Below are 24719 nucleotides of genomic sequence, written 5' to 3'. Positions count from 1 at the left end.
CTACTGACATCAGTTAGAATATGTGCCCTAGCTAAATGGGACTCTATTTACTGAAGAAAAGCCTTCCCTCAAAAAGGTAGAAGTCATTAAAATTTATGCAGTGATAGTCATAAGTTTTTATTTTCACACTGCACAATCTCCAAAATTGGCAGCATTCTTTGCCATCTGATGCAATGTTTTCCATCTACTTAGAATTAAGTTGTTTAACATAAAAGCCAGATTTGTCTTTAATTATTTAGTAGGGGGAGGAAAGTTGTAAAATTGACATTTTTAAAAATTAAGAGAAAATTTTAAAATCTGATACATTGTTTGGTTTTCTTTCTGTTACCTAATTTATAATATTTTGAGGGCAATGAACTGTCTTTTAAAAGGAAAAATCATATCAAAGTAAGATCAATGACATACTATTTCCTCATAAAACAATTGAATGAAGGTATAGGGTTTACATTAGACATCTTACAGATGCAAAAGTTTCTATGTATTTTATGCAAATTAATGCAATATAATACAATTAACAAGACACAAGACTGGTCATCTGTTGAAGTACTCAAGAGGTTGCATATTGTCTTAATTTATTTCTATAAGATACTAAATATTGAATAAAATATTTAAAGTGCATCTATTGTTTAGAAGAATGGAAAGTTAGCAAATAAATATTTAACTACTGAGAAAAACCACGATTCAATTATGTCTGATTACTCTTAACATTACTTTAAACATGTTTGTTTGCAGCTATTTTTGCTGACTAGAAGATAATTGCTGAAATAAGAGTAGTTTAGGCAGGTTTACGATATGTAAACCAGATGGGGTGAGTACCAGAATGAGTGGGTAGACAAAAAGAAAACAATGTGTCAGCTACTTTTTAAATAAGCTTGGATGTAATTGAAAAAAAAAAAAGGTTAAAAGAAAATATATTCCTTTCAGCTTAAATTTAAAATTAAGCACTCAACACTTTTAAATATTAATAACTATTGTGAACACCTACTAGCTTCTTTGGCTGAATTACCTACTAATATACTAAATTTTTTAAATTTTCTTTATTTCTTGATAATTTTCTTAAGATATGGCTTTGTAAATGTTTAAAAAAAATCCAACTCTAGCAAGATAGTCAAATTCACATCTTATACAGTTAAAGTCTCTATGGATACTCAATTATTGATTACCATCTCCCTCTGATATGTTTCTTTGCTTTACATGATATTACACACTCTGTATTTCTGACCCTGACTACTCATTCTCCTACTCTGATTTCCAAAATTCAGCATGGCCTCCAGTTCTGTTCTTGGGGCTCCCCCTCCTCTTCTTATACATGGCTCTTGACCTCATGTAGTATTTTTATCACGTATTTCCTAAATGTTAAAGTCAATTATCCTTGAATAGGTTTGCATGTTAGGTACATGAGCCAAAATTCTTAGAGATTCAACTTTCATTGAGGAGTAGACTTGGAAATAAAATGTTTAATTTCTGGCTCTTCGCCAGGCTTCCAGTTTCTATAATCATAAATTCTTGATATTATTCAGAGGCCAGAGGCAGATTTTAAGGTAATTATACAATTAGAACTGTTTGTTACAGTTCTCATTGCCAATATTATATGAAAATGAGTTGATGACACTGTCCTAATGACTAGATTAGTGTGCCTTAGTAGTCAACTACTTAGTATGACTCTTTAGCCTATTAATAGGTCAAAGCTTAGCACCTTTTCTTTGAGCTACACATGGCTTGGTCAAAGGAATTTTGCAGGTATTTACATCTCTCTAATCAGATATCCACTGATAAATTGATAAATAATAATGCAGTGAGTTAAACAGGGCTTGGTTCCTAATTGCTTATAAATTTAGTATTGATGCTAATCAAATTAGCTTTCTTGACATTAATTGTGATGGGTAACTTATGTGCTACAGAGCTAACTGTTAAAGACTTTAGCATCCCACATTCATTGTGTGGATAGTTTCTCTTCTGCATTTGTCACAGTACTTTGGGTCATTCCTTCCTCATACGCACAACTCAGGTCTATCGTCTTTCAAATTGCACGTATCAGCCAGTTATTACCAGCTTTTTTTTAAAAAAAAAAATTTCCTTCCAGCTACCACTGAACATAAAAGACTATTGGCAGTTTTTAATTTTACTTTAGACAGCGAAAGACATGTCTGCATGTTTAGAATGCCAAGTAGCTCTATAACTGTTATCAATTATATTAACTAAGAGAAAACTATAGTGAAATTTGCTCTGAAAAAGAAAAAGATCATTGCCCTAAAACCTTTGTTAACACATAGCTGTCCATATGCTATTGTATTTTTCATAATTTAGCTATGTTTCATCCAATTTAGGACAAAATTTTAGAGGACTTAGAAAAAATACAATTTTAAAGAGAAATAATTGTGAAATTATTCGTGAGTAGCTAGTTTAATATGAATTATAACAACCTCCACACAAGTACAGGCTGATTAAATAGTTGAATTGAGTAATTGTTTTGAAATACACGCCTAGTTGGACAGCCATTTAAATTCTCTAACAAGCTGCACAGTCCAGAAAGTTTGTAAGCCATTTAGGAAAATGCAACTTACGGCTCAACGGCATTTCTACTAACATTTAGAAAATTATAGTTTGAATTGAAAATGATTTTAAGTATAAATCAGTGTTTAAAGAGATTTTACATACATTAACTCATTTAATCCTCACTGAAATCCTGCAGGATAAGGAGCACTGGAGGATGCTCTGAGTTTATCAGAGATTTGTCCAAGATTACACAAATAGTATTGAAGTACAGATTCAAACTCAGTTCATCAGGTTCCAAGTTTAGTGCCACCCTCATCACTTCATTTATATTTAAGCACCTAGTATGAGTCATTACCTGGTAAGTACATCAGAGGATGGAAACCAAGAACGCAATTCTGAATAGGACAATATTTTTGCTTTCAAATGGCTTTAAATGTAGCAAGCGAAACAAACAAGTAATTAGATCCTACTATTTTGTTAAATTATCACATCCAGGGTAAGTATAAGGTGTCTCTACGGCAACTCAGAAGGAGACATTACCTATATTTGGAGGGGGCTCAGAAAAGATACCTAAGGTGATATTTGTTGATCTTCCTGTAATTAGTCAGGTCTATGGAGGTGAAGGACTGTTCCAGAAGAGAAGAGCGAGGAGCATGTAGAAGGATCAGAGGTAAGAGAAAATGATTATTGTAAGAGAAAATGATTATTGTTGTTTGTTAAGTGAACTGTGAATAATTCACTGTATTTGAAGTTTAGTATTTCAGTGAATAATAGTCCTAACTGAACAGGTTCTCCAGCCTTCTCAGGAACATTTGGGGGTCTCTGGAGATGTTTTTGTATGTCAGAATGACAGAGAAGTGGTATTACCAAGATTTAGTGAGTGTGAGGATTTCATTACAAGGGTAGTCCAGTACAGTGGGTAATTTTCCCACCCTTAAATTATACTTGTGGTCTCCTGAGCAACATAAATAACAGATCACCAAAAGCTTTGGAGGATAAATCAGTACATTTGAACTGTCTTCAGAGGCATTTAAAGGGTTTTAAGGCCCCTGGGCCCCTAAAGGTTTTTAAACAGAGGTTTAACACAACAAAATTTCTGCTTTAAAAGGATCCTTCTAGCTGCCTTGTGGAGAATGGGTTAGAAGAAATGAAAATAGACAGACAATACCACAAGTGTTTGCTCTGCCTTGAATAGGAAAGTCTAAGAGAGCAAGAGAGATTTAGCCAGCACTAAGAGAATTTCACTGCATTGACTACTCACTGGGAAATGTGGATGCCAGCTTTCTGTGAGCAGAGTGAATGAGAGGGGATGAAATGTTCTAGAAGAACAAACTCCAGTAATAGTCCTCACTGAGGCTGGAGCAAACACCACTTCAGAGAATGGTGATGTTCCCTTTTTTAGAGATAGACAGCTGTATAATTCTGCCTCATTAAAACAAATGCCTGAAATCTTTGTTTGGCTTAAGTTCCTGAAGCTGAATTTCTATTTCTACAGCTGAAAGAAATCTTTATTGATTCATGTGGGGGTATTCAGTCATTCCATATCTTGATTCTGACACAAATTCATTACCAGAGACAGGGACTCTCAGTTTAAATTTTTGTAGTTTTATTAAAAAGAAGATACTTTAATGGAGCCAGATTTACTCATTCATTCATTCATGCACCATTAATCAAAACATGATTATTATGGGCATTGAGTTAAGCATTCAACAGATACAAATCATGCTAAAAATTTGGTTTTCTAGGCCAATGTTTCTGGCATTCATATATTTTCCCCTCTATTTCCAAGGGTTACTATTATCTTGCTGTTTAACTTCCTTTGAAACTTAACCACACTGTAAAAACCCATGCATGCTATATTGTAAAGTTGGACTCCAGAATAAGAAGTAGAAATGCAAAGTCAACATTATATTCAAGAAGTATGTGCATATCTTCTGAAATTGGTACTTCCTTTATACCAAATGTGTCTTTAGTTCTTCAAAGTAAAAAATACTTTGATTACACAGAAATTTGTTCATTCTCCAGATGCGAACTCCTTCATTTACATGACCATTTTGAATCTAAATATATATGCCTTTCTTGGTATCATTCAGTTATTCCAGACCTTCCATATCATTTTAAAAGATGAAATGTCTTTCAGTAGATGGTGAAGAGCCCATTTTTTAAAAAAAAAACTTTATTTTGCACAGGTGTAACACAGGTGGTACACCCTTTCCTCTCTGCCCCATAGGGTGTAGCTCTAACTACCCTCTAGGGAAGAGAAGGTTGGGTGAACAGCCTTACTATTTCTCCAGCTCAGTCATTACCTGCAGGCACATTCTCTTCTCTGTCCAGGAGTGCTTAAGGAAATTGCAGGCTGATGCATGCAGAACGGATTTGCATCATGGTTCTTCTTCCACAAGTCACTTCAGCCTCTTCCCCAGAACCAATACACATTTTAAGCTTATTATGTTTCAATTTTTTTAATTGTCGGGTTTGGATCCTTGTCATAAAATTGTTCATACTGTGGTGGAGGGCCCTCAGATGTGGTGCAGCTATTTTTTAAGTGACACACTTGAAGGAGAGCTTTTACCACACAGAATCTCAGAGTGTGTTCTACAAAGACACACCCACATCCATACTCATAGACTCCTAACTCTGGATTTGTTATGCTAAGAATGTCCTGGATTTCATAATAAAGCACCTTGAAATAGTGAATAATGAATAATGGAGAATCTAAATCACTTGTGATTTTTTTTTTACCTCATTATGAGAAGTGCTGAGAGCTGGCATTTATCACCAGTGGTTGCTTCAATCCATTAAACCAATCCACGGAGAGGCAGAGTTCCACTGGAGTTTTAGATGAACCAAAATGTACTATGAACTTGGATGGAGTGAAGGAGGAGAGATTTTGAAAGATTCTTCTGTTTCTTTCTTGAAACACTGTACAAGTGTGCTACATACACTCTGTTTACCATTCTAGGTTTCCCGTTTATTCTTCCCCACCCTGCTTTGGCACCAGAAAACAAACCTTTACTGTCTTTGTCAATCATATTTTTTTTTTCCTTAGCAACCTATTGAGTCTGGGTAATGGAAGCTATCCTCAGGAGAGAATATGGTAGAGTAGAAAGAAGTTGAGTTATTTAGTTCCGTGGTTGTCTCCCTAACTGGCCATAAATTAGCCCTTGCTGAGTTTCTCTACCAAATTTTACAGCTCTTGTGGAGCAGTACTCTCTTGTAGTTGCAGCTACAGCACCAGCTTCAGCCCGCTGTAAATTTCAGTACATGTTCCTTCCCACTGCCTCAAGCCAAGTAATATTCATATCTCCTGCTGTTGCTCAGCTCAGGGTGCTTCCATATGCCTTGTTGGTTTCTTTGAACTTGTCCTTATACTTTGAAACTGCCCTTGCATTAAAGTCTCCTAAATCACTACATTTTGAGTGTGCCACTTTTTCCTGCTGATACCAACGTTCATACTACTTAATACTTAATAACAATTTAATTGAGTAAGAAAAAAAGCCACACTTAACTGTGAAAAATAAAAGTAAATTTAATTTTACAGCTGTCAAATTTCAAATGCCTGACTAGTATTTCAGGAGTCAGCTGTCTAAGTAGTAATCCTATAGAGATGGAAGACCAAAGAGGTATCTGGGATGGACATTGATTTGCAGTTTAATAAAATTTATGAACCTGGAAAAACCTGGGCTTTGTTTAACAATCTGTAAAATTAAGGAAATGTATTCATTATTTCCTCTGTGCTTTCATCCCTGTGAGTCTTTATTTCATACTATCCGGCTAATTAGCAAAGCAGAAACTTTAGGGACCCAGAAATCTATCATAGCCAGAAAACTTATGTGAAAGCTGTAATGTCTTATTTTGTGCCAATACTTTCTAAACATTTACATCAAGTGTAAAATAATCTCTTCAGGAGAAAGCTGGTTTTCCCCTGGGATACATTATCTTTTAAAATATAAAATGTATATGTACCATAAGTTATTAAATCACTGAAGTATGCATTGCAATTTTCAACAATATATAATTGAGAATATATTTTCTTTGTATATAATCTATCTCTAATGTTAAAAAAGTTTTAAAGTTACACAGTATGGCCATTTCCCTAGTTCTTTGTGAAGAAATGCTTATATTAACTCTGCCGTACTTATTGTGTCTGAATGGAAGCCAGAGAGTAACCTGAGACTGACCCCGAAATGACACTTCTATACACACACACACACACACACACACACACACATGCATACACACATACATACACACACATACACACATACACACATGCATACACACATACACATACACACATGCAAAACACACATACACATACACACATGCATACACACATACACATACACACATACACACACACATATATACATAAACACATTTTTCTTGGAATAATGAAAGTGTTACATATTTTGCTCTTTGAAATATTATGCAAATGTATGTACAGTGTAATAGCTTTAGTTTGGGAATAACAAATCAACTGTGAACACTATTTAATCAAGATGGAAGATTTAAGATATGTTAGTATTATTTTTTTATTATTGATTACATGCCAAGATGGTTCCTATCTTTTCATATTTATTTACAATTATATTAAGAGGCTCTGAATATATACTAATTTACTATGCTAAGGAGTGTTTGCCATTTTTCTACCAGGATAATGCTGCATAACAAACCTCCAGAAACTCAATGGCTCAATAATTATTCATTTAATCTCAGTAGTCTTCAGGTCCACTAATCTCATTTAGGCTAAACAGACTAAACCGGATCACAGGGTTTGGTTCATGTGTATTCATTCTGGGAATCTGACTACAGCAAAAATGGCAAACTGAGGCATGTCATACTCATGGAGCAAGGTGGAAGCAGAAACACATAAATGCAACATCTTTTAAGGCACTATTAAGCAGAAACAGATAAATGCAACTTTTTATTAACTCTGAAGTTTCACCTGCCCCTTCTTTAATGGTTAAAGCAAGTTAAAGAGCCATGCTTAATATTAATCAATTAAGGAAGTATACTCTACAAATACTGAACATGCAGCAAGCACTTGAGAAAAAGGAAGAATTTTTACAAACAACAAAATATTCCAAATAGGGAGTGCAAAGATATATTTATTCTCAGTTGGTTTTAGTTAATCAGCAAATATTCACTATGCTTTTCTTCAGAAACTTGTATCAGGGAGTGTACAGTGTGAGGTAAATAATATATGAAATATGAATCTCTGATAACCCTAAACCCAGAAGGTGACCCAAGAAACCATAGAAATAAGAATAAATATATAAATTAACTACAAAGAACCATAGACTAACTCCACCTTATTAATTTTCAATGTCTAAATAAACAAATAAGCCTTACAAGTTAAAGGTACATAATCAAATATGTGAAAATAATGTTGTTTAAATACAATACAGAAAACAATTTTGTAAACTGTTTTGCTTGTTTACTTTTAAATATGTAGTCTAAAACTATGGAGGAGTTAAATAAATTCTACTGTTCATGATAGTTCTTTATTATATTTAGTATTCTAAAGGGAGATCCTATTCAAAAGTACCATCTCAGGATTAGAAGAGTCCTTAGATGACATGAAAATCTCAGGCAGTTGGGTAGGAATAAGAGGAAGATGAATCATTGTGCACAAGCAAAACTATTCTTGCATGAAATTTCTGAAATCTTTGGGGGTGCTTTCTATGAGTAGTGTCAGAGACTGATTCTGCGTAGTCATTTTGTATTCTGAGTTAAAAGTAAATTTTATTTTGCTTCTTGACAATTATATAAAACAATTTTCAAGCATTACTTACACTTCAGATAACTAAAATGCCACCAAACAAAACACGTTGGTTTTCCAATTTTTAAATTAATATTTCTAAGCCACTTTTTTGTTTAGTTACTGTTATGCAAAAAGTGAGGAAATTACTACATTCAGTGTGTTATTTTAACAATAATATGCATTATAGTTTCAAAAGAGGATCATATAAAAATATTATACAGCAATTTCTACGTTTGATAACTTGGAACAACTGAAAATAAAACCAAATAATTTAAAGTATAATCTAAAACCATTTTAAATGTCTTTATTTTAAATTGTTTTTATCCCATCCACCAATGATGGGCCCTTAGGTCTTTGCTATTGTCAACAGTACTGTGATGAACATACGAGTGCATGTGTCTTTTTGGTAAAACAATTTATTTTCTTTTGGGTATGGAGAACATAATCCTAAGTGAATAAACCAGGAACAGAAAACCAAGTACTGCATGTTCTCACTTACAAGCGGGAGCTAAACATTGAGTACACATGAACATAATGATGAGAACAATAGACAATGTGGACTACTAGATAAGGGAGGGAGAGAGGTGGGTGTGGGTTCAAAAACTACTTATTAGATATTATGCTCACTACCTGGGTGACGGAATTTGTATTCCAAACCTCAATATCACATCATATACCCATGTAACAAACCTGCAAATGTACTCTCTGTATATAAAAGTTGAAATTACTTTTTAAAAAGTGGATGCAATAATTTTTACTAAAGAACTGTGTGCATTCAAATAACAAATCCCTAGCATTTGTATCTAAATTACTTGTTTTGACTTAATGTCATTAAGAATAAGACCAGACCGATATTTATTTTACAAGAATTGCTCTATTGAAGGCCATGAGGACTTTGAGGCTTTTCTGAAATCCTGTGAATTCTGAGAAACCTATTATAGAAGTGTTACTAAAACATACATTGACATTCTACTGTACAAACAACTCTAAAAGATGTACTGTGCAGAAATGGTTTTATGCATAAAAACTACAAAATCAGAAGTGGCATTAAATTTCAAAAATATATTTTTATTTGTTCTAATTTAATATTCTAATTAAATGCACCCTCTATTATCTTTTTGGTTAATAAAAGCTTACATTTAGTCTTTCAATTTTATTTCAGTGTTATAAACACACTTCTACAAACTTCTTCAATTTGGCTTTAAAATTTTCTACTGAACAAAATCTACAAAAGAAAGCAAAAAGCATTATAAAAATATAATGAATCCTATCCTTATGACCATGATTATTTTTACAACTTTTGAACCATCACAAAAGTAGTATTTTTTCAAAGAAAAAAAGATTCTAAAACTCCACATTTCTCATAATAATCTGAAACAAAATTAATTCTATTGTCTTCATAAAAAGAGAACATAGCTTTCAACATTGTCTGCAAAGAATTTGGAAAAGGATTGAAATAATGAAGGGTTCTTGCTAAAATGAAAATGAACATTTTGCTTCAAGTATCTTTGTAATTTCAAAAATAATGATTGTGAATCAGCAACAGTTATGGACTTGGGGATAAAAATGGAGTACTCAGCATCCTTGGAGAAGCTTTTTAGCTATGAATAGCTCATAAGGAATATTATATTATAAATAGACTCTCAATTTACAGAAACATATATATATATAATATGCCTTAGGACTTATGTGTGTGTGTATATATATGTGTGTGTGTGTGTGTTTGTGTGCATACATAAATAAATATATATACACACACACGCACACACACAAAAATAATTGTTCCTCAGTATCCAAGGGGGATTTGTTCCAGGACCACCAGGCAGATAACAAAATCCATAGATGCTCAAGTTCCTTATATAAAATAGTGTAGTATTTGCATATAACCTGTGCATATCCTCATTTATAGTATAAATAATCTCTAGATTACTTATAATATCTAATTCAATGTAAATGCTATGTAAATTGTTATTATTCTGTATTGTTTAGAGAATAATGATAAGAAAAGTCTGTGCATGTTCAGTACAAATGCAACCATCCTTTTTTTTTCCCCCAAATATTTTACATCTGCAGTTGCTGAACCTACGATTGTAGAACCCATGTATATGGAGGGCTAACTGTATATACATATTCTTCCTAAGTGAGAATATATGCTTTATTTAGTTTGGATGTTATTAAAAGAGTAAATGACTAAAAATGATTTATATCTGAATATATAAATTTTAAAGTTGAATAAACATGTATTTGAATTTGGAAATTTACTCTTTATGAATAAAATATAGACTTGTAAATATAACAGCATATCTTTAGGACAGGTACTACAAACATTGAAAAATGTTTGCTTTGACTTAAGTTTATATCATTTGTAGCTTATTTGTTTGCTTTCCAAAAAGCTTTTGTCTCAATTATAACATAGATTTTTTTTTTTTTTTTTTTTTTTTTTTTTTGCACAGGGAAACATAGCTGAATTAAAAATCTGCTTTACCCATCTTAAGGAGAGTAATAAGACAAAAATTGGAATGACAATAATAAATAAAAGTGGATACCCTAACGACAATCATTTAATGGCATTTATTCAATGCTTACTACACCAAAAATCTTCCTTTTGTCCCTTTCTGCTATAGCTATGAATAGGTATTTAATAAAATTTTATGATAAAAGAGCTTTTTCCCAGTAATAGCATGGACACCATAAAAAAATATAAACGGGCTTTTGTGTTCAACCTCTTCAGTTTTAGAGATTCACAGGACCAGCTAATTTTGTGGCAAGGTTGGAAATTCAACCCCAAAGTCCTAATTAATAAGCCCAGTCTTGGACTTAATTTATTTTTACAATTGAAATGCATAGACATATGTGTCATATTCTTAACATTTTCTATTAATAATCAGTCCTGAAATTGTATTGATACAGAGGCTGACTTCCAAAAGCAGTAATAAAATCGAACAATATGTAACGCACTCCTCGTATGAGTTGGATGAATGTAAACTGAATTTCATACTTGCAACTGACTATAAAATTGAATGAATGGCATGATTCATTTAACAAATATTAATTGAGTACCTGCTCTGTGTATCAGCTTTGTGGATCCATTATTGAACAAAGCAGTCAAAAATCCTCACCTGTATGAAGATATTTATTCTAGAAGGAAAACAAATTAACCAAGGAACTATATAAAGTATCCATATATTGAATAGTAGCAAGTGATACAATTTTTTAAAAAGTTAAGGACATGTTAAGTCTAAGAATTAAAATAACAATTTTAATTGGGGTAGTTTGGCTGGAATACCTCACTAAAAACATTATTTAAAAAATTAAGATATGAAGGAAAACAAATATGTGTGAGAAGAGAATCCAGAAAAAGGGAACAACCAGATCAAAGACCTTCAGGTGGTGTGTGACCTTAATGCAGTTTTGAAATTATAAAGGCGGAGTAGGCAATGACTGAGTACAAATGTTGTGGTAGATGAGGTCCATGAGGAGAAGAAAGTCAGATTATAAGTAAGTTTACAGAACAAATAGAATGCCCTAGCATTCACTTTGAAAAGGAAAACAGTGATCAATTAAAGCCTTTTCAGTAGTGTGGTATTGTGATCTGTCCTAAGTTTAACCAGGGTCACTCTGGCTTCTTTTTAAAATAGACTAAAAAGTAAAAGAAAAAGCAGAGAAATAGGTAGAAGTTTATTCTAAAATTTAGGTAAGAGACTTGGACTAGTGTGCAAGCAAGAATTGCTGAGATATATTTTGAAAGAAATGCCAGTAGTATTTACTCAAGTTGTGTATGTGAGAGAAAAATAAAAGACTAAAGGAAGTCTGTTTTTTTTTTAACTGGGAAACTGGAAGGAAAGAATTGTTATTGACTGTGTTGGTGAAGACAAAACAGGAAATTTTAGGGGTGGATGTGAAGGTCTCTGTTCTTGACTTATTAAATTTTATATAACTAGCTTATGTAGTTGTACAAGTAAGTTTGGAGTTCAGAAAGTATTAGGAGCTGGAGACATAAATTTGAAAGGCATCGGTACTGGCATGGAATTTGTCTTCGAAACTGGATGAAATCACTTAGGGGAATCAATATAGAGATACAGTTCAAAGATTGAATCTTGAGGTAGCTTAAAATTTAGAGGTTTTCTAGATTATTTAAGAAAAAAGTAGACTGAGGAAAAGTAGTCAGCAAAATAGAAGGAAAACCAGGCCCGTGTGTTATTAGGAAAGAGGCCAAGTTAAAAAAAAAAAAAAAAAAAGTATTTTAGTTGGCTAGACTCATCAATGGTGCCAATTGCTTCTGATAGGCCAAAAAAGGTGAGTACTGAAAATTGACCATTGGACTTAGCACTGTAGAAACTAATTTTAACAACAAAATGAGCAGTTATGCTGGAGCTGTGGGGATAAAAATTTGATGATAGTTGACCCAAAAGAAAATAGGTAGAAAAATATTTAAGGAATCAAGCGAAGCAGCCATTTCAATGAGTTTTACTTTATTGATAGAAGAGAAATGAGATAATAGCTGGAAGAGAAAGTGGGCCAAGATAATTTGTCTTTATAAAATTGGCAGGTTTTTTTTTTTTTTTTATAGAATTGCAAGTTAGCTTGATGTTGATGGATATGATCCAGTTGATGGGAAAATTTGATGGTTCAAGAGAGAGATGGGAAAATTACTAGAGCAATGCCCACGAGAAGGAAAGGGATAAGGTTATGTACACAATAGAAGGACTGTATTTACTTAGGGTCCAGTCCATGCTAATAAAATAAATTAGAATATTCAAGTATAAATGTGGGAAAATGGATGTGAAGAGACAGTTTTTGTAATTTGTCTTTTAAATGATTTTCTTTCTTCTGTGAAGTAGAAAAAGTGGTCACAGCAGACAGTGGATAATTTTGAGGCAAGAGGACATAGTACAGAAGACTTCTATATAGGTACAGTAAAAAAGTGAATGAATTAGGATGATACAATGTGAGTTAGTGCTCATGATCTTAAAGGAGAGTCAGTCCTGGGTGTTTGGTTTTCCCTCCAGGCTCGTTCACTGGTGGAGGTGCAGATGAATAGTATGTGGAGAACTGTTTTCAATCATTGTTGGGGTGATTTAGTTAATATACTATACAAATAAGATAGGAAACAATGTTGCATTTAAGGAAGTGATTTTATAGTGATTAGCAATAAAATTTAAGCCGGATAATAAGGGAAGTATGAATGTTGGGTGAGGAAGGAGACATAAAGAAAAGTGGTAAGGTTTCAGTGGCTTCAAAAGATTCTTGGAGCTGGGTTCTAAGAGGGATTGAGCTGAAAAAATAGAAAATTATAAGACATATTTGAAATTGAGGTGTTAGGATAATAGTAATTGTTAGTAAGCCAACAGTGTGGCTTACTGTAAAGTCATGGATACAATCACAGAAGTTAGTTTTGGAGTTAAAATGGGGACCAAGATGATTGAGAAGAAGAATGGAGAAGCTAGGTCTTCAACTGTGAATTAATTACCACAGAAGTAGTTTTGGAGAGAATTACAATGAGTAAAGAACTAAGATTATCAAAGAACAAAGGAAGGGGACTTTTGATGACAGCAACAGAGAGAGGCTTTTTATAGAAAAGGTAAAGACAGTTGTATGAATATCTCTTCAGGGTGGTTAATACAAAAATACACTTACCCACTTTGGGTAAAAACATATAAAGTATGCAGAAGAAAGGTTATCATTGGAAAATAGCCAGGTTTAAGTTAGAGCAAGTCAGTGTGACAGACATTCAAGGAAGAGATTAAGGATATAGTCGATTTTGCTAATAACTGAACTTAAGAGAAAAACATGTAGGTGGTGGGAGGATGAACAGTCAGTTTCAGAAGAGATGTTGGAGTAGGATGAGATTTCAAAGATTATATGATCTAATCTTTTGTATCTGAAGATACAAAATAACTTCTTCACAGTATAACTAATATTTAGTCTTTATTTGAGTATTTCCTGTGACTGCCTTCTTAGAAGGCAGCCCATTCAAAGAAATGACACATTTTTCCATGTTCACAAATACTTCCATTGACCCCAAAATGAAATAGAAATCTATCCATCACAGATTCTTCACGATTATGATTCTCCCTTGCTTCCTTGTGCTGCTTCCAGGCAATTATTTCTGCTAAGCTTTAACCATCAGATTTGAACTGCCTGGCTTCCGTGTCTACCTCCCCCTTTCCTTTCTGATGTGGAGTGTTTACAAATTTTCCAGTTACTTCTTTCAAATCATTGATGATTTCATCAACTGAAATCATCACCTTAACAGCTACCATCATCACAAATGATTTCTACAAGGAGGGGCCCAACTCACTGACCCTCTCTCGGGATTAGTCATCTCCCTAATACTTTCACACTCTTCACACCCAGCTTCTCTTCATTTTTGCATAATACTTACTATTACTGTGTTTAAAATATTCTTGACTCCCTTGTTCTAATCTCGCACTCATTAGGCGAGATGGAAACTCTGGACAAAATCCCTGAATAGCAAAGCATCCTAAGTAGATTGGATTCTCTACAGTTTATGTAGAGAACCAAACTCAAGTGGGCTTTCCACAAAACACACAAAAAATCATGTTTCTTCAGCAAGTTTACTCGGCCAAGTTCCGCAATTAAATAACATCTTATACACACTATTTAAATGTTTTCCTACTCCTTTCCTCCCTCTCTTAATCTCAGTATATTATTTCACTTCTTACCAGAACAAATACAGCAGATGGTAACTACATAATCTTTTTGCTACCATATGTAAGAACTGACCTGCTGCCTCTCTGTCCCATCAGTTCAGGCTACTGTATAATAGAATACTACATATTTGGTGACTTCAACAACAATCATTTATTTCTCACAATTCCAGTGGCTGGAACATCCAAGATCAAGGCTCTGACAGATCTGGTTTGCGGTGAGGGCACTCCTCCTGATTTGTAGACGGTGGTCTTCTTTTGTATCCTCATGTGCTACAGGGCAGAGAGAGAAGAAGCAAGCTCTCTTGGGTCTCTTTCTATGGGGGTTATTAATCTTATTCTAGTGGGCACCACCTGAAGACATAATCACTTATCAAAGGCTCTACCTCCTACTGCCATTACATTGGGGCTGAGGATTTGTATATATGAATTTTGAGAGGAGGGCACAAATATTCAGCTCATACTATGCCCCTTTCCATTAGAATGAAGGACACGCTGCTCCGATTCAAGTTCAGCCCCTGCACATGCATTCCCCTCTACTCCCACTGTTTTTAGCTGTTTTTGTTCCTGAGTCTTCAACATCTTAATTTCTGTCACAGTCTCCTTCTGATCAAACATGACCTCATATCCCTAATCTTAAATAAAACATGGCATGCTTTGTCTCGACCTAATATCTCTTGTTAGCAATTATTTTTAATTTGTCTTTTTATTTCAATCTCCCTTCATAACTAGCTTTTAACAACAGTTTTTATTTTCTCTTTTATAAAGGCAACTTAAACTTTCTCAACTTTCATTTAATTTTGCCACACTAGAGTTCTGATTCTATGTCACCAATTAATAACTTGTTGCCAGATCCTACATATTCCCATCCTACCTTAGCTGTCGGCAGTATTTTACAGAATTGACCACGACATTTTTCTTGAGAGACTAGCCTCTTGATCTCCACATGTAGTGGATACATATTTTGTAAAATTCAAGTGAACACAATATGTAATTCGCTTTATTTTAATTTCATTATTTTTTTCATAAACAGAATTGTCTTCTAATTACATTCCCATTTTGCTTAGAGGCAGAAAAACTTAACTGAATCAATTCCAAGTAAGTTCAGAGGTTTTAAAGGATTCTCAGGCATTTTGGGTTTTAATTCAGTTAAATCAAAATTGTCTCCCCCCCTTCTTCCTTGCTTTTTGGATTGGTTTAACTTCTGGAAAGTTCATACAGTACAATTATATTAGATGGTGAGGCATCTGGGAATCAGCCTTCCATTGTCCTATACTGACATCTATTGTGATGTACAATCATGTCTCACATACCCACCACATTGGCATCTGTTGAGGTTTCTGTATTTCCACCTGGTTTCTTGACATACATTTTACACTACTCTTTGTTATAATGTCTTCTTATCACAATCACAGACCCTTTCAACATCTGCTTGCTTTCTCTCAGCCAAACTTTGTGTTTGTTTGTTTGTTTGTTTGTTTGTTTTGCTCTTCTTGTTACTCGGGGATCATAGGATACTTGCTATGGCTGCCTTGTGCCTTCCCCTTCTTAAGCAACAAAAATACATCTTAACCCTTTTCATTGGGTTATTAGGGAATTCTAAAAGCATAATTCTTTACACTGTTCCAGAAATAATTAAGGGAAAATGTGGTATTTTTAGAATTCCAAACTGTTCTGTGGGTTCTGTCAAAATCTCATGTACTTCTCAATGATAGCAGAAAATACAATGAAAAGAGTCTTCTTAGATCCCATCAGTTTTTAAGTATTTCTCTCTAATGCATTTTTCAACCTTTCTTTATACTGGATAGAGTAATTATCCTTTAGTTATAATGAGAGGGAAGACTGATTTAATTTTTCATTCTTCCAAATCTTCGTCTATTATGTCAGTAATATAGCTTTTATTAAAATGAAAAAGAGTTCACATCTCTGCTCTGTACTTTCACTTAATTACAGCTGGCTGGGCTGGGGGAAAAGGACCACATGTTAAAAATGAAGCAATTTGATGACTGTTACTGGGAGAAACACCTTTCTGCAGTATGGCTGAATGGTTAATCTGCTCATCCTTTTTTTTTTTTTTTTTTGCTGGAGAAAACAAACAAAACATAAATGCTGAATATGTTAAAACAGGGGTCTCCAAACCCTGGGCCACAGATCAATACTGGTCCATGGCCTGTTAGGAACCAGGCCACACAACAGGACCTGAGTGGCCAGAGAGCAAGAGAAGCTTATCTGTATTTACAGCTGCTCCCCATCAATGCATTACCACCTGAGCTCCACCTCCTGTCAGATCTGTCTTGGCATTAGAGTCTCACAGGAGTCCGAACTCTAGTGAACTGCACATGCAAGGGATATAGGTTGCACACGCCTTATGAGAATCTAATGCCTGATGATCTGTCACTGTCTTCCATCACCCCCAGATGGGACTATCTATTTGCAGGAAAAAAAGCTCAGGGCTCCCACTGATTCTACATTATGGTGAGTTACATAATTATTTCATTATGTATTACAATGTAATAATAATAGAAATAAAGTGTGCAATAAATGTAATGCACTTGAAACATCCTGAAACCGTATGCCCCCACCCCGGTCTGTGAAAAAATTGTTTTCCACGAAACCAGTCCCTAGTGCCAAAAAGATTGGTACTGTTGTATTAAAACATTCAAATGCATTGATGAACTAAATAGAAAGTAAAGAGTATCCAAGGCATAAGTAAATGAAAGGATAAAATGAAAGTGACAAGCAGAATGCTGATACTGGTTTCCACCTTGAAAGCCATTGCACATTCTAGTAAACTTGAGTTTTTGTTTTCATATATTTTCAAAGCACAAGGTATAGAGAGAAAATGTCCAGTGGTGGCTGAAAATAGAAAATCGAAAGCATAATCCCTGCATAAACCTAGGCCCAGCAAATGGCCTAGCCCCTCCTTTAAGCATAAAACAGGAATAAATGTCCACTCATTCAGGGTTTTATAAGGAGCTATACCTATCTTGACTTCTAGTGCTGAATGAAGGGGGAAAAAAGTAATGCTTCTAGCTAAAAAACAGCCTTTATGTTGGATTGCAGCCTGAATTTCCTCAAATTGTGTGATGCGAAAACCTTAATGCAATACTACAGTTTAAAGTGCATCTAGGTTGGTATAGCCCCCAATCCGTAGCAGAAACAATTGCATTTTTTTTCCCAGAAGAACTTGTCTTCAGTCACTACAAGCAATTATCACAAATAAAAATTTAGAAATATAAATTTATACTAAAGAAAAATCACAAAACACCTAAGGAAACAAAGTGCCACAAGCTGGAGCCTCCTAATATGGGAACAGAATAACATAACTAAAAAACAAATATACTTCATAGGTTACAACAATAAACGAAGGTACTGAAAAAAAATAAGAAAAGGGCAAAAGAATTTTAAAGAGACTAAGATGATTCAACAAAAGACTCAAGAGAATGGCTTGATTTTGAAAAATTACTATTTTAGGTCAGTGTCCCTGGAAATAGACTCTTAAATATGGATTAACATACAAGAAATTTATTTGGGTATTATTCTTAGAGAAAACCACTGTGAAAGAAGTAAGAGAAGCTGGATTGGGCAGAAGGCAAGGGAGATGCAATTGCAATAGAATCTTCAGTTGATAATATCATAAGCTCTGAAGTTAATCACTCCTAGAACTACTACTAAAAACCAGATATATTTTTAGTGTCTCTATTATACAGAACAGCTACCACCCCACAGACTGAATATAATAGTTACAAGTGAAAAATTAGATAAGAGGCTTAAAATTTCTTTAAGAACTCTCAAAGTTCTATACAAATGGGTTATTTTGACATCTACACAGGAATCAAAAGAACAGCCACTGGAATCAGATAATCTTACTTCACTTCTGCCTTTGACACTCACTAACTAGTTGACCAAAAGCAAATTACTGTCTCTCTGTGACCAGTTTTTTCATTTCTAGAGTGGCATTAATGATAGCTGCTTCATAGAAGTGCTGTGGAGGATTAAATAAAGTGAACACATCTGAAGAATAAGCACAACATCTATTATATAACAATAGTTGTTAATAGCGGTTATAATAAAAATATTTTTTAAAAGGAAGAGGAGGATCATAATCCTTAATTTAGATTCTGCGTTAAATTGTCTTATATTTACTTAGATATCCTCTTTAACCCACGTCATGTGCAGAACCTAATTTCTACTCCAAAAACACAGCAGTATTTTACTGGAAATTTACCTTTAATGAAATATTCTGCAATAGCAGGAGATCCTTGACTCTTTTTCTGGCTCTTTGTATGAATTTATGGTAGAAAAAAAATTGCTCATCTGATCTTTTTATGTCAATATATCACATATTTGCACAGAGACACTATTTCTGGGTATTTTAGAATACGTTCAAGCTGATTCCTTTTATCCTACAAGTACGCTGACAAAACAACAGCTTATAGCATTGAGATTTGTATTGGCAGAAGCATTTCCTGTTAATCAAATACTCTGTAGCATGTTTGTACATGTTTTTTCTTCTGTGCCTTGAAAAAGATGATATGACTTTATTCCTGTGTTTACTTTTTATTTCCTACCCTTAAAACAAATTGAGGTGCAGTTTCTTAATTTAATAAATTCCCTTTTCTCTGGCCCTTTCAAAACAACAAAATTACTGCTAATTTTAATCTATCAAGTAGCAGTTGACATAAATATTATATGGAATTCAATCTACAAGTTGATTTCTTTACAGTGATAAACAAATATTTTGTTTTATTTATGTTCGACCAGATTTATTTGGTTCTTCTTTAATGAAAATCTGGGGCTATTTGGCTCCTACGATAAGCTGTCAAGATGAAAAATCTATGCTGTAATGTCAATTTGCAATGCTTGTGGTTCAAAGGGTATTCACAGCACATGATTTATTTTTCCATCACCTAAGATTTAAAAAAGAAACTATGCCATGATTAATATCAAAAAAATGAGAAGTGATTTATTTTTACAAATTTGTCTTGAACAGTATAAAGCATGTTATTTCTGATGGTGCCTATTAGGAACAAGAGCAATTGAAGTCTGTATAAACATTTTAAATCTCCCATTAAAAAGTCAACAACTTAGAAAAAACTGGAACAGATACTCTACTCCCATCTAGGGGAATGATTTCTTAGATATTAGATGAAGTGTTGTACAACATTTTTTCAGGGCTTTTGTTATGAGAATAAGTGTCCATTCTTCAAATGCATATCATCCTTTTAATACATGATTGTTTCCACAGTTTTTTTTGTTTTTATATTTAATATATATGCATATAAATTTGACAAAAATAAGTTAGTTGAAATAAAAATTAAACAATATTTAAATAGCTCCTAAGTTTCAAATGCCCTCTCAATTTTGGAAAATAACTTATAGCAGTTCTTAGCATCAACCTAGGAAAATCTTTAGAATTAATCTCCCAGTAATCTCACACTATTCTATTCAGAATCAAATCTTTTACACCTGCCTTCAGTGAAGGAAGTGTTTGGCTTTATTAGTTATAAAAGTTTATTTCCTTTTTTTAAAAATTTTTATTTTTTTAAATTTTTGTGGATACATAGTAGGTGTATATATTTGTGGGTTACGTGAGATATTTTGATACAGGCAGGCAATGCATAATAATCACACCAGGGTAACTGGGGTATCCATCACCTCAAGCATTTATCCTTTGTGTTACAAACAATTCAATGATACTCTTCTACTTATTTTAAATGTACAATTAAATGATTTTTGACTATACTTACCCTGTGGTGCTAGCAAATATAATAGCATCTATCATTGAAATTTGCACAGAACATCAATTCTCCTTACCATCTTTTATGTGTCTTCTTGCAAAATCACTTTAGTCTTGTTATGTTTTAACTATAAAACCTTATTTAATAATCAAGAGTTATAGTTAAGTGCAGAATTATTCTATTACTAGAAAGCTACATGTGAATTAATCCTTCTTATTCTTTTATTACAAGTATATGATCATTAAATAAGTAGGTGTATTTGAATTGATATCGAAAGGCATCTAAGATATAATGCTAAGACAAAAAGTAAGTGAGAAAACAGTGTATTTTCATAATTATGTAGTGGTATCTATACATATATTTGTACACTAGACAATAATGTTAAAACACATTGGTATGTACGGAGAAAAAAGTGTGGCCTAATATGCAGCAAACTCAACAGTAGTGAGCGGGAGTATAATAAATATTCATTTCTTTTGAGACGGAGTCTCACTCTGTCACCCAGGCTGGAGGGCAGTGACGAGATCTCAGCTCACTGTAACCTCTGCCTCCCGGGTTCAAGCGATTCTCCTGCCTCGGTTTCCCGAGCAGCTGGGACTACAGGTGCTCGCCACTATGCCAGGCTAATTTTTGTATTTTCAGTAGAGACGAGGTTTCACCATCTTGGCCAGGCTGGTCTCAAACCGCTGACCTCCGGTAATTCACCAGCCTCAGACTCCTAAAGTGCTGGGATTACAGGCGTGAGCCACTGCAACCAGCCAAACATTCATTTTTTACATCTTTGTATCTTACATATCTTTGTGTTTTTCTTTAATAGCCAACATTTCTATAATAAGACAGGGGAAGAAGACAGGCATGTAGACTCAAATATTAATAATGAATAACTCCACAAGGTAGAATTAAAATGACCTTAATTTTCTTACTTCTTGACTACATTTTAAAATCTATGTTCATAACAAGAGTTATTAATTTATGTAATACAAGGTAGAATCATTTTAGTGGACTGATATTAAAAAACTTTTCTCATTTATTGCGTAAACACATCTCACTCCTCATAGACTTTTTCTATGGAAATATGATTTTATAAATATAGTTAACTTTTATCTGAATAAAACTTATTTATCAATAAAGAACATTAATTGCATGAGCATTGTTAAATCACCAAAGTAAATCTAGTACATCACAACTAAGTTATTACTTGGCCTTCTCAAGAGCTTCTTCAGTTAAATTGCATGAGGATTGAGAATTAAGTGAGTTTTTTGTTTGTTTCTTTTTTTTGTTCTGGTGGTCATATCACTACTTTTGTGTAAAGTTACAAGTAATGGCTGTGAATAACAACATAGATCTTTTCATATATAATATTATAGAAATACATTATGAACAATGATTTCCATGTATATAAAATAATGAAAATAATAAAAAGTTTTAAAAAGTATTCTGTAAGCCCTTGTTTTAGATCACTTCTCCCTTTGTTTCAATAACATGCTTTAATAATCACTCTTTCTTAAGAACTATGTGAACATTTAGATTTTACTGTTTTAAAATTTTTGTATCATTAAGTATGCATGCTTTATTTCCTAACTTTTTTACTATTAATATCTTTTTTTTTAACTTCTGGCTTTCCTTTGCCTCTTCGATCCTCTCTAGCAATATTTAAGATCTCTGATAGCTAATGGTAAATCTGAGAACATTTCCTGGATTCAAGCCAATCATAACATCTTTAAATAATGTTTATATATTGCAAGCTTGCCAGCTACTTACCAGGGCATAACAAAAGATAAATATACACTCCTCTACTACCACCACTAAAAGAAGCCAAGTCATCTGACTGCCAGTGACCTAATTTTTACATAGCTGTTTATAATTCTCATCATCATGTTATAGCAATATGATTTATTAATCCTTCTGGCATTTTTCTCCTTGACAGCTTCTCAGCTGCTGTTACATTCTACTTGGATGGGTAAGTACTATATACTATTTTAAAAGTGCACATCAAGTTTTATATGTTGAGACTTTATTTGCTTTAAACACTTAGTGTCAACTAGGGTGGAATAATTTGGATTTAACAGTATAAATGATAACAATTATTGTTAAGGGTTCAACATAGATGAGAATGAAGAAAACATACATTTGAAGATGTGATTACAATAGAGCCTTTCAATATGTTTAACTTAGGGTGGGTTAAAATATAATTCACGTCTTAGTTTTTAAAGGCCATAGGATTTTACTTCAAATGGAAAATATACTTTTAAGTCCTCTGCAGACTCTTAGGTATGTTCAAATACTTGTGTACAGAAGAAATATTTTTGCTATAATATCTAAAAATTTACACCTTTGTGGACAACATCTCTACGTTTTCAAATTAATTTTAGATTGTCAATAATTAGCTATAATCACCAATACAGGTGGTACTTATTTATCTTTATATGTAACTACCACACTTTTTTTAATAACAATAAAATTCGACTTGATGTTGCATGCATATTAAACAAAAACAATAAGAACAGGACAAAAATATTAGAAAGGAATATGCACATATTAACAAACATCCAATTAATAATTCACTACAGTTGTACTCTAACCAAGGTTGTGTTACTAGAACGTATGGCAAAAATAGGAGAAACATTTAGATTGTATAGTTCCCTTTGTCCAGTAAAAAAATCAACCATTTTTGCTTAATGTGAATAGACACATTTCTTCATGCCAGTGAATAAGAAGGAGTTTAGGCATATAAAATATATTAGGTAATATCGTATTGTCAACCACAGATTTACACAGCAGTGTTATTCAAATGGACAATTTACATTTTTGGATCTCTATCAGACCTGTCACCTGCATATTGACGTTCCATCTCTATAAATTTATGCCTTAAGTTAGAGAAACATTTTTGTAGGAAATAAAGATAATGTGTATTCATGTGACTTCCTGATGACCTGATTTAATAAACTTTTTCTTAAATGTTAGGAGGAAGACATAGCTATATTTATGACATTATCTTGCTCAAATTTCCAATGTTTTAAACTGTCTTTTGTCAAATGATAGATGATGTTTCTGTTGTAATTATCTGAATTTTTGAGATGAGCATTTGAAGGAGCTCCAGTTTCAATTGGAAACGATCCATAGTCTTTAGACACTGGACATTCTTTTGTGAAGGATTTGAAGTGTGATTGTATATTTTCTCTAATATTCATAAGTATTCTATCATATTTATTCTAGAGGTAAAGCAGTTAATTCCTAAAAGTCTAGGAAAAATGCAACCATAATGCAACTTTCCACATTTGGAAAGGTTGTTTGAAAAGCCAGAATTCTTCAGCATCTTACTATAAAGTCGTAATTTGTGTCTACTGTATTTTAATCACAAATGTGACAACAGCATGGTTGTATACAAAATAAAAAGGGGGCGCTGGGCCGGGCGCGGTGGCTCACGCCTGTAATCCTAGCCCTTTGAGAGTCCAAGGCGGGCAGATTTCCTGAGCTCAGGAGTTTTAGACCAGCCTGGACAACACGGTGAAATCCCATCTCTACTGAAATACAAAAGAAATTAGCCGGGCGAGGCAGCGTGCGCCTGTAATCCCAGCTACTCGGGAGGCTGAGGCAGGAGAATTGCTTGAACTCAGGAGGCGGAGGTTGCAGTGAGCCGAGATCGCCCACTATACTCCCTGCCTGGGTGACAGAGAAGGTCTCGGTCTCTACCAAAAAAACAAAACAAAACAAAAATGTCAGGGGGCGCTGATGTTTTAGCCTCCGTGTTTATCCCATTTTTGTGGAGTCTTTAATGTTGTCTGGTCTGACTCAAAATCATTGTCACTTTCACCCAAGTTGTTTAAGGCTAAGGATGTGATATTCTTCACTGAGATTCAGAGAACTGGTACGTAACTAACAGAGAACAAATTAAGTAACAATTTTCACACAGCTCCCTGGTCATTAAAAAATAGGGAAAAGGAGGAAAATCTGGTGTACTCTAGCTTCTAAGGAAGTCAGTTCCTCAGTTTAAGTACTTTCTTTTACAGCATATAATAAAGCAAATAAAATGCTAGGCAATTC

The 24719-nt window shown here is 33.6% G+C and overlaps 1 protein-coding gene and 1 non-coding gene across 4 annotated transcripts in view; both read left to right on the top strand.

Moving 5' to 3' along the window:
* MGAT4C (MGAT4 family member C) overlaps positions 1 to 24719 on the top strand; it is an 883334-nt gene that overhangs the window by 89157 nt on the left and 769458 nt on the right. For 2 of the 3 annotated variants that reach the window (NM_001351286.2, NM_001351285.2), the window contains exon 2: positions 22603 to 22635. The exons of the other annotated variant lie outside the window; for it this stretch is intronic. The gene's annotated coding sequence lies outside the window, so the exon portion shown is untranslated. The remainder of the gene's footprint in view (positions 1 to 22602; positions 22636 to 24719) is intronic. 3 annotated transcript variants of the gene reach the window in all.
* Positions 4695 to 4776, top strand: MIR3059 (microRNA 3059). The gene has a single exon (NR_162123.1). It is a non-coding gene; the product is annotated as a microRNA 3059 (primary transcript).

This window comes from Homo sapiens, chromosome 12, assembly GCF_000001405.40.
Source record: "Homo sapiens chromosome 12, GRCh38.p14 Primary Assembly".
NCBI classification, from domain to species: domain Eukaryota; kingdom Metazoa; phylum Chordata; class Mammalia; order Primates; family Hominidae; genus Homo; species Homo sapiens.
The sequence above is the reverse complement of the archived record's forward strand: the minus strand, read 5'-3'. Positions and strand labels throughout refer to the sequence as shown.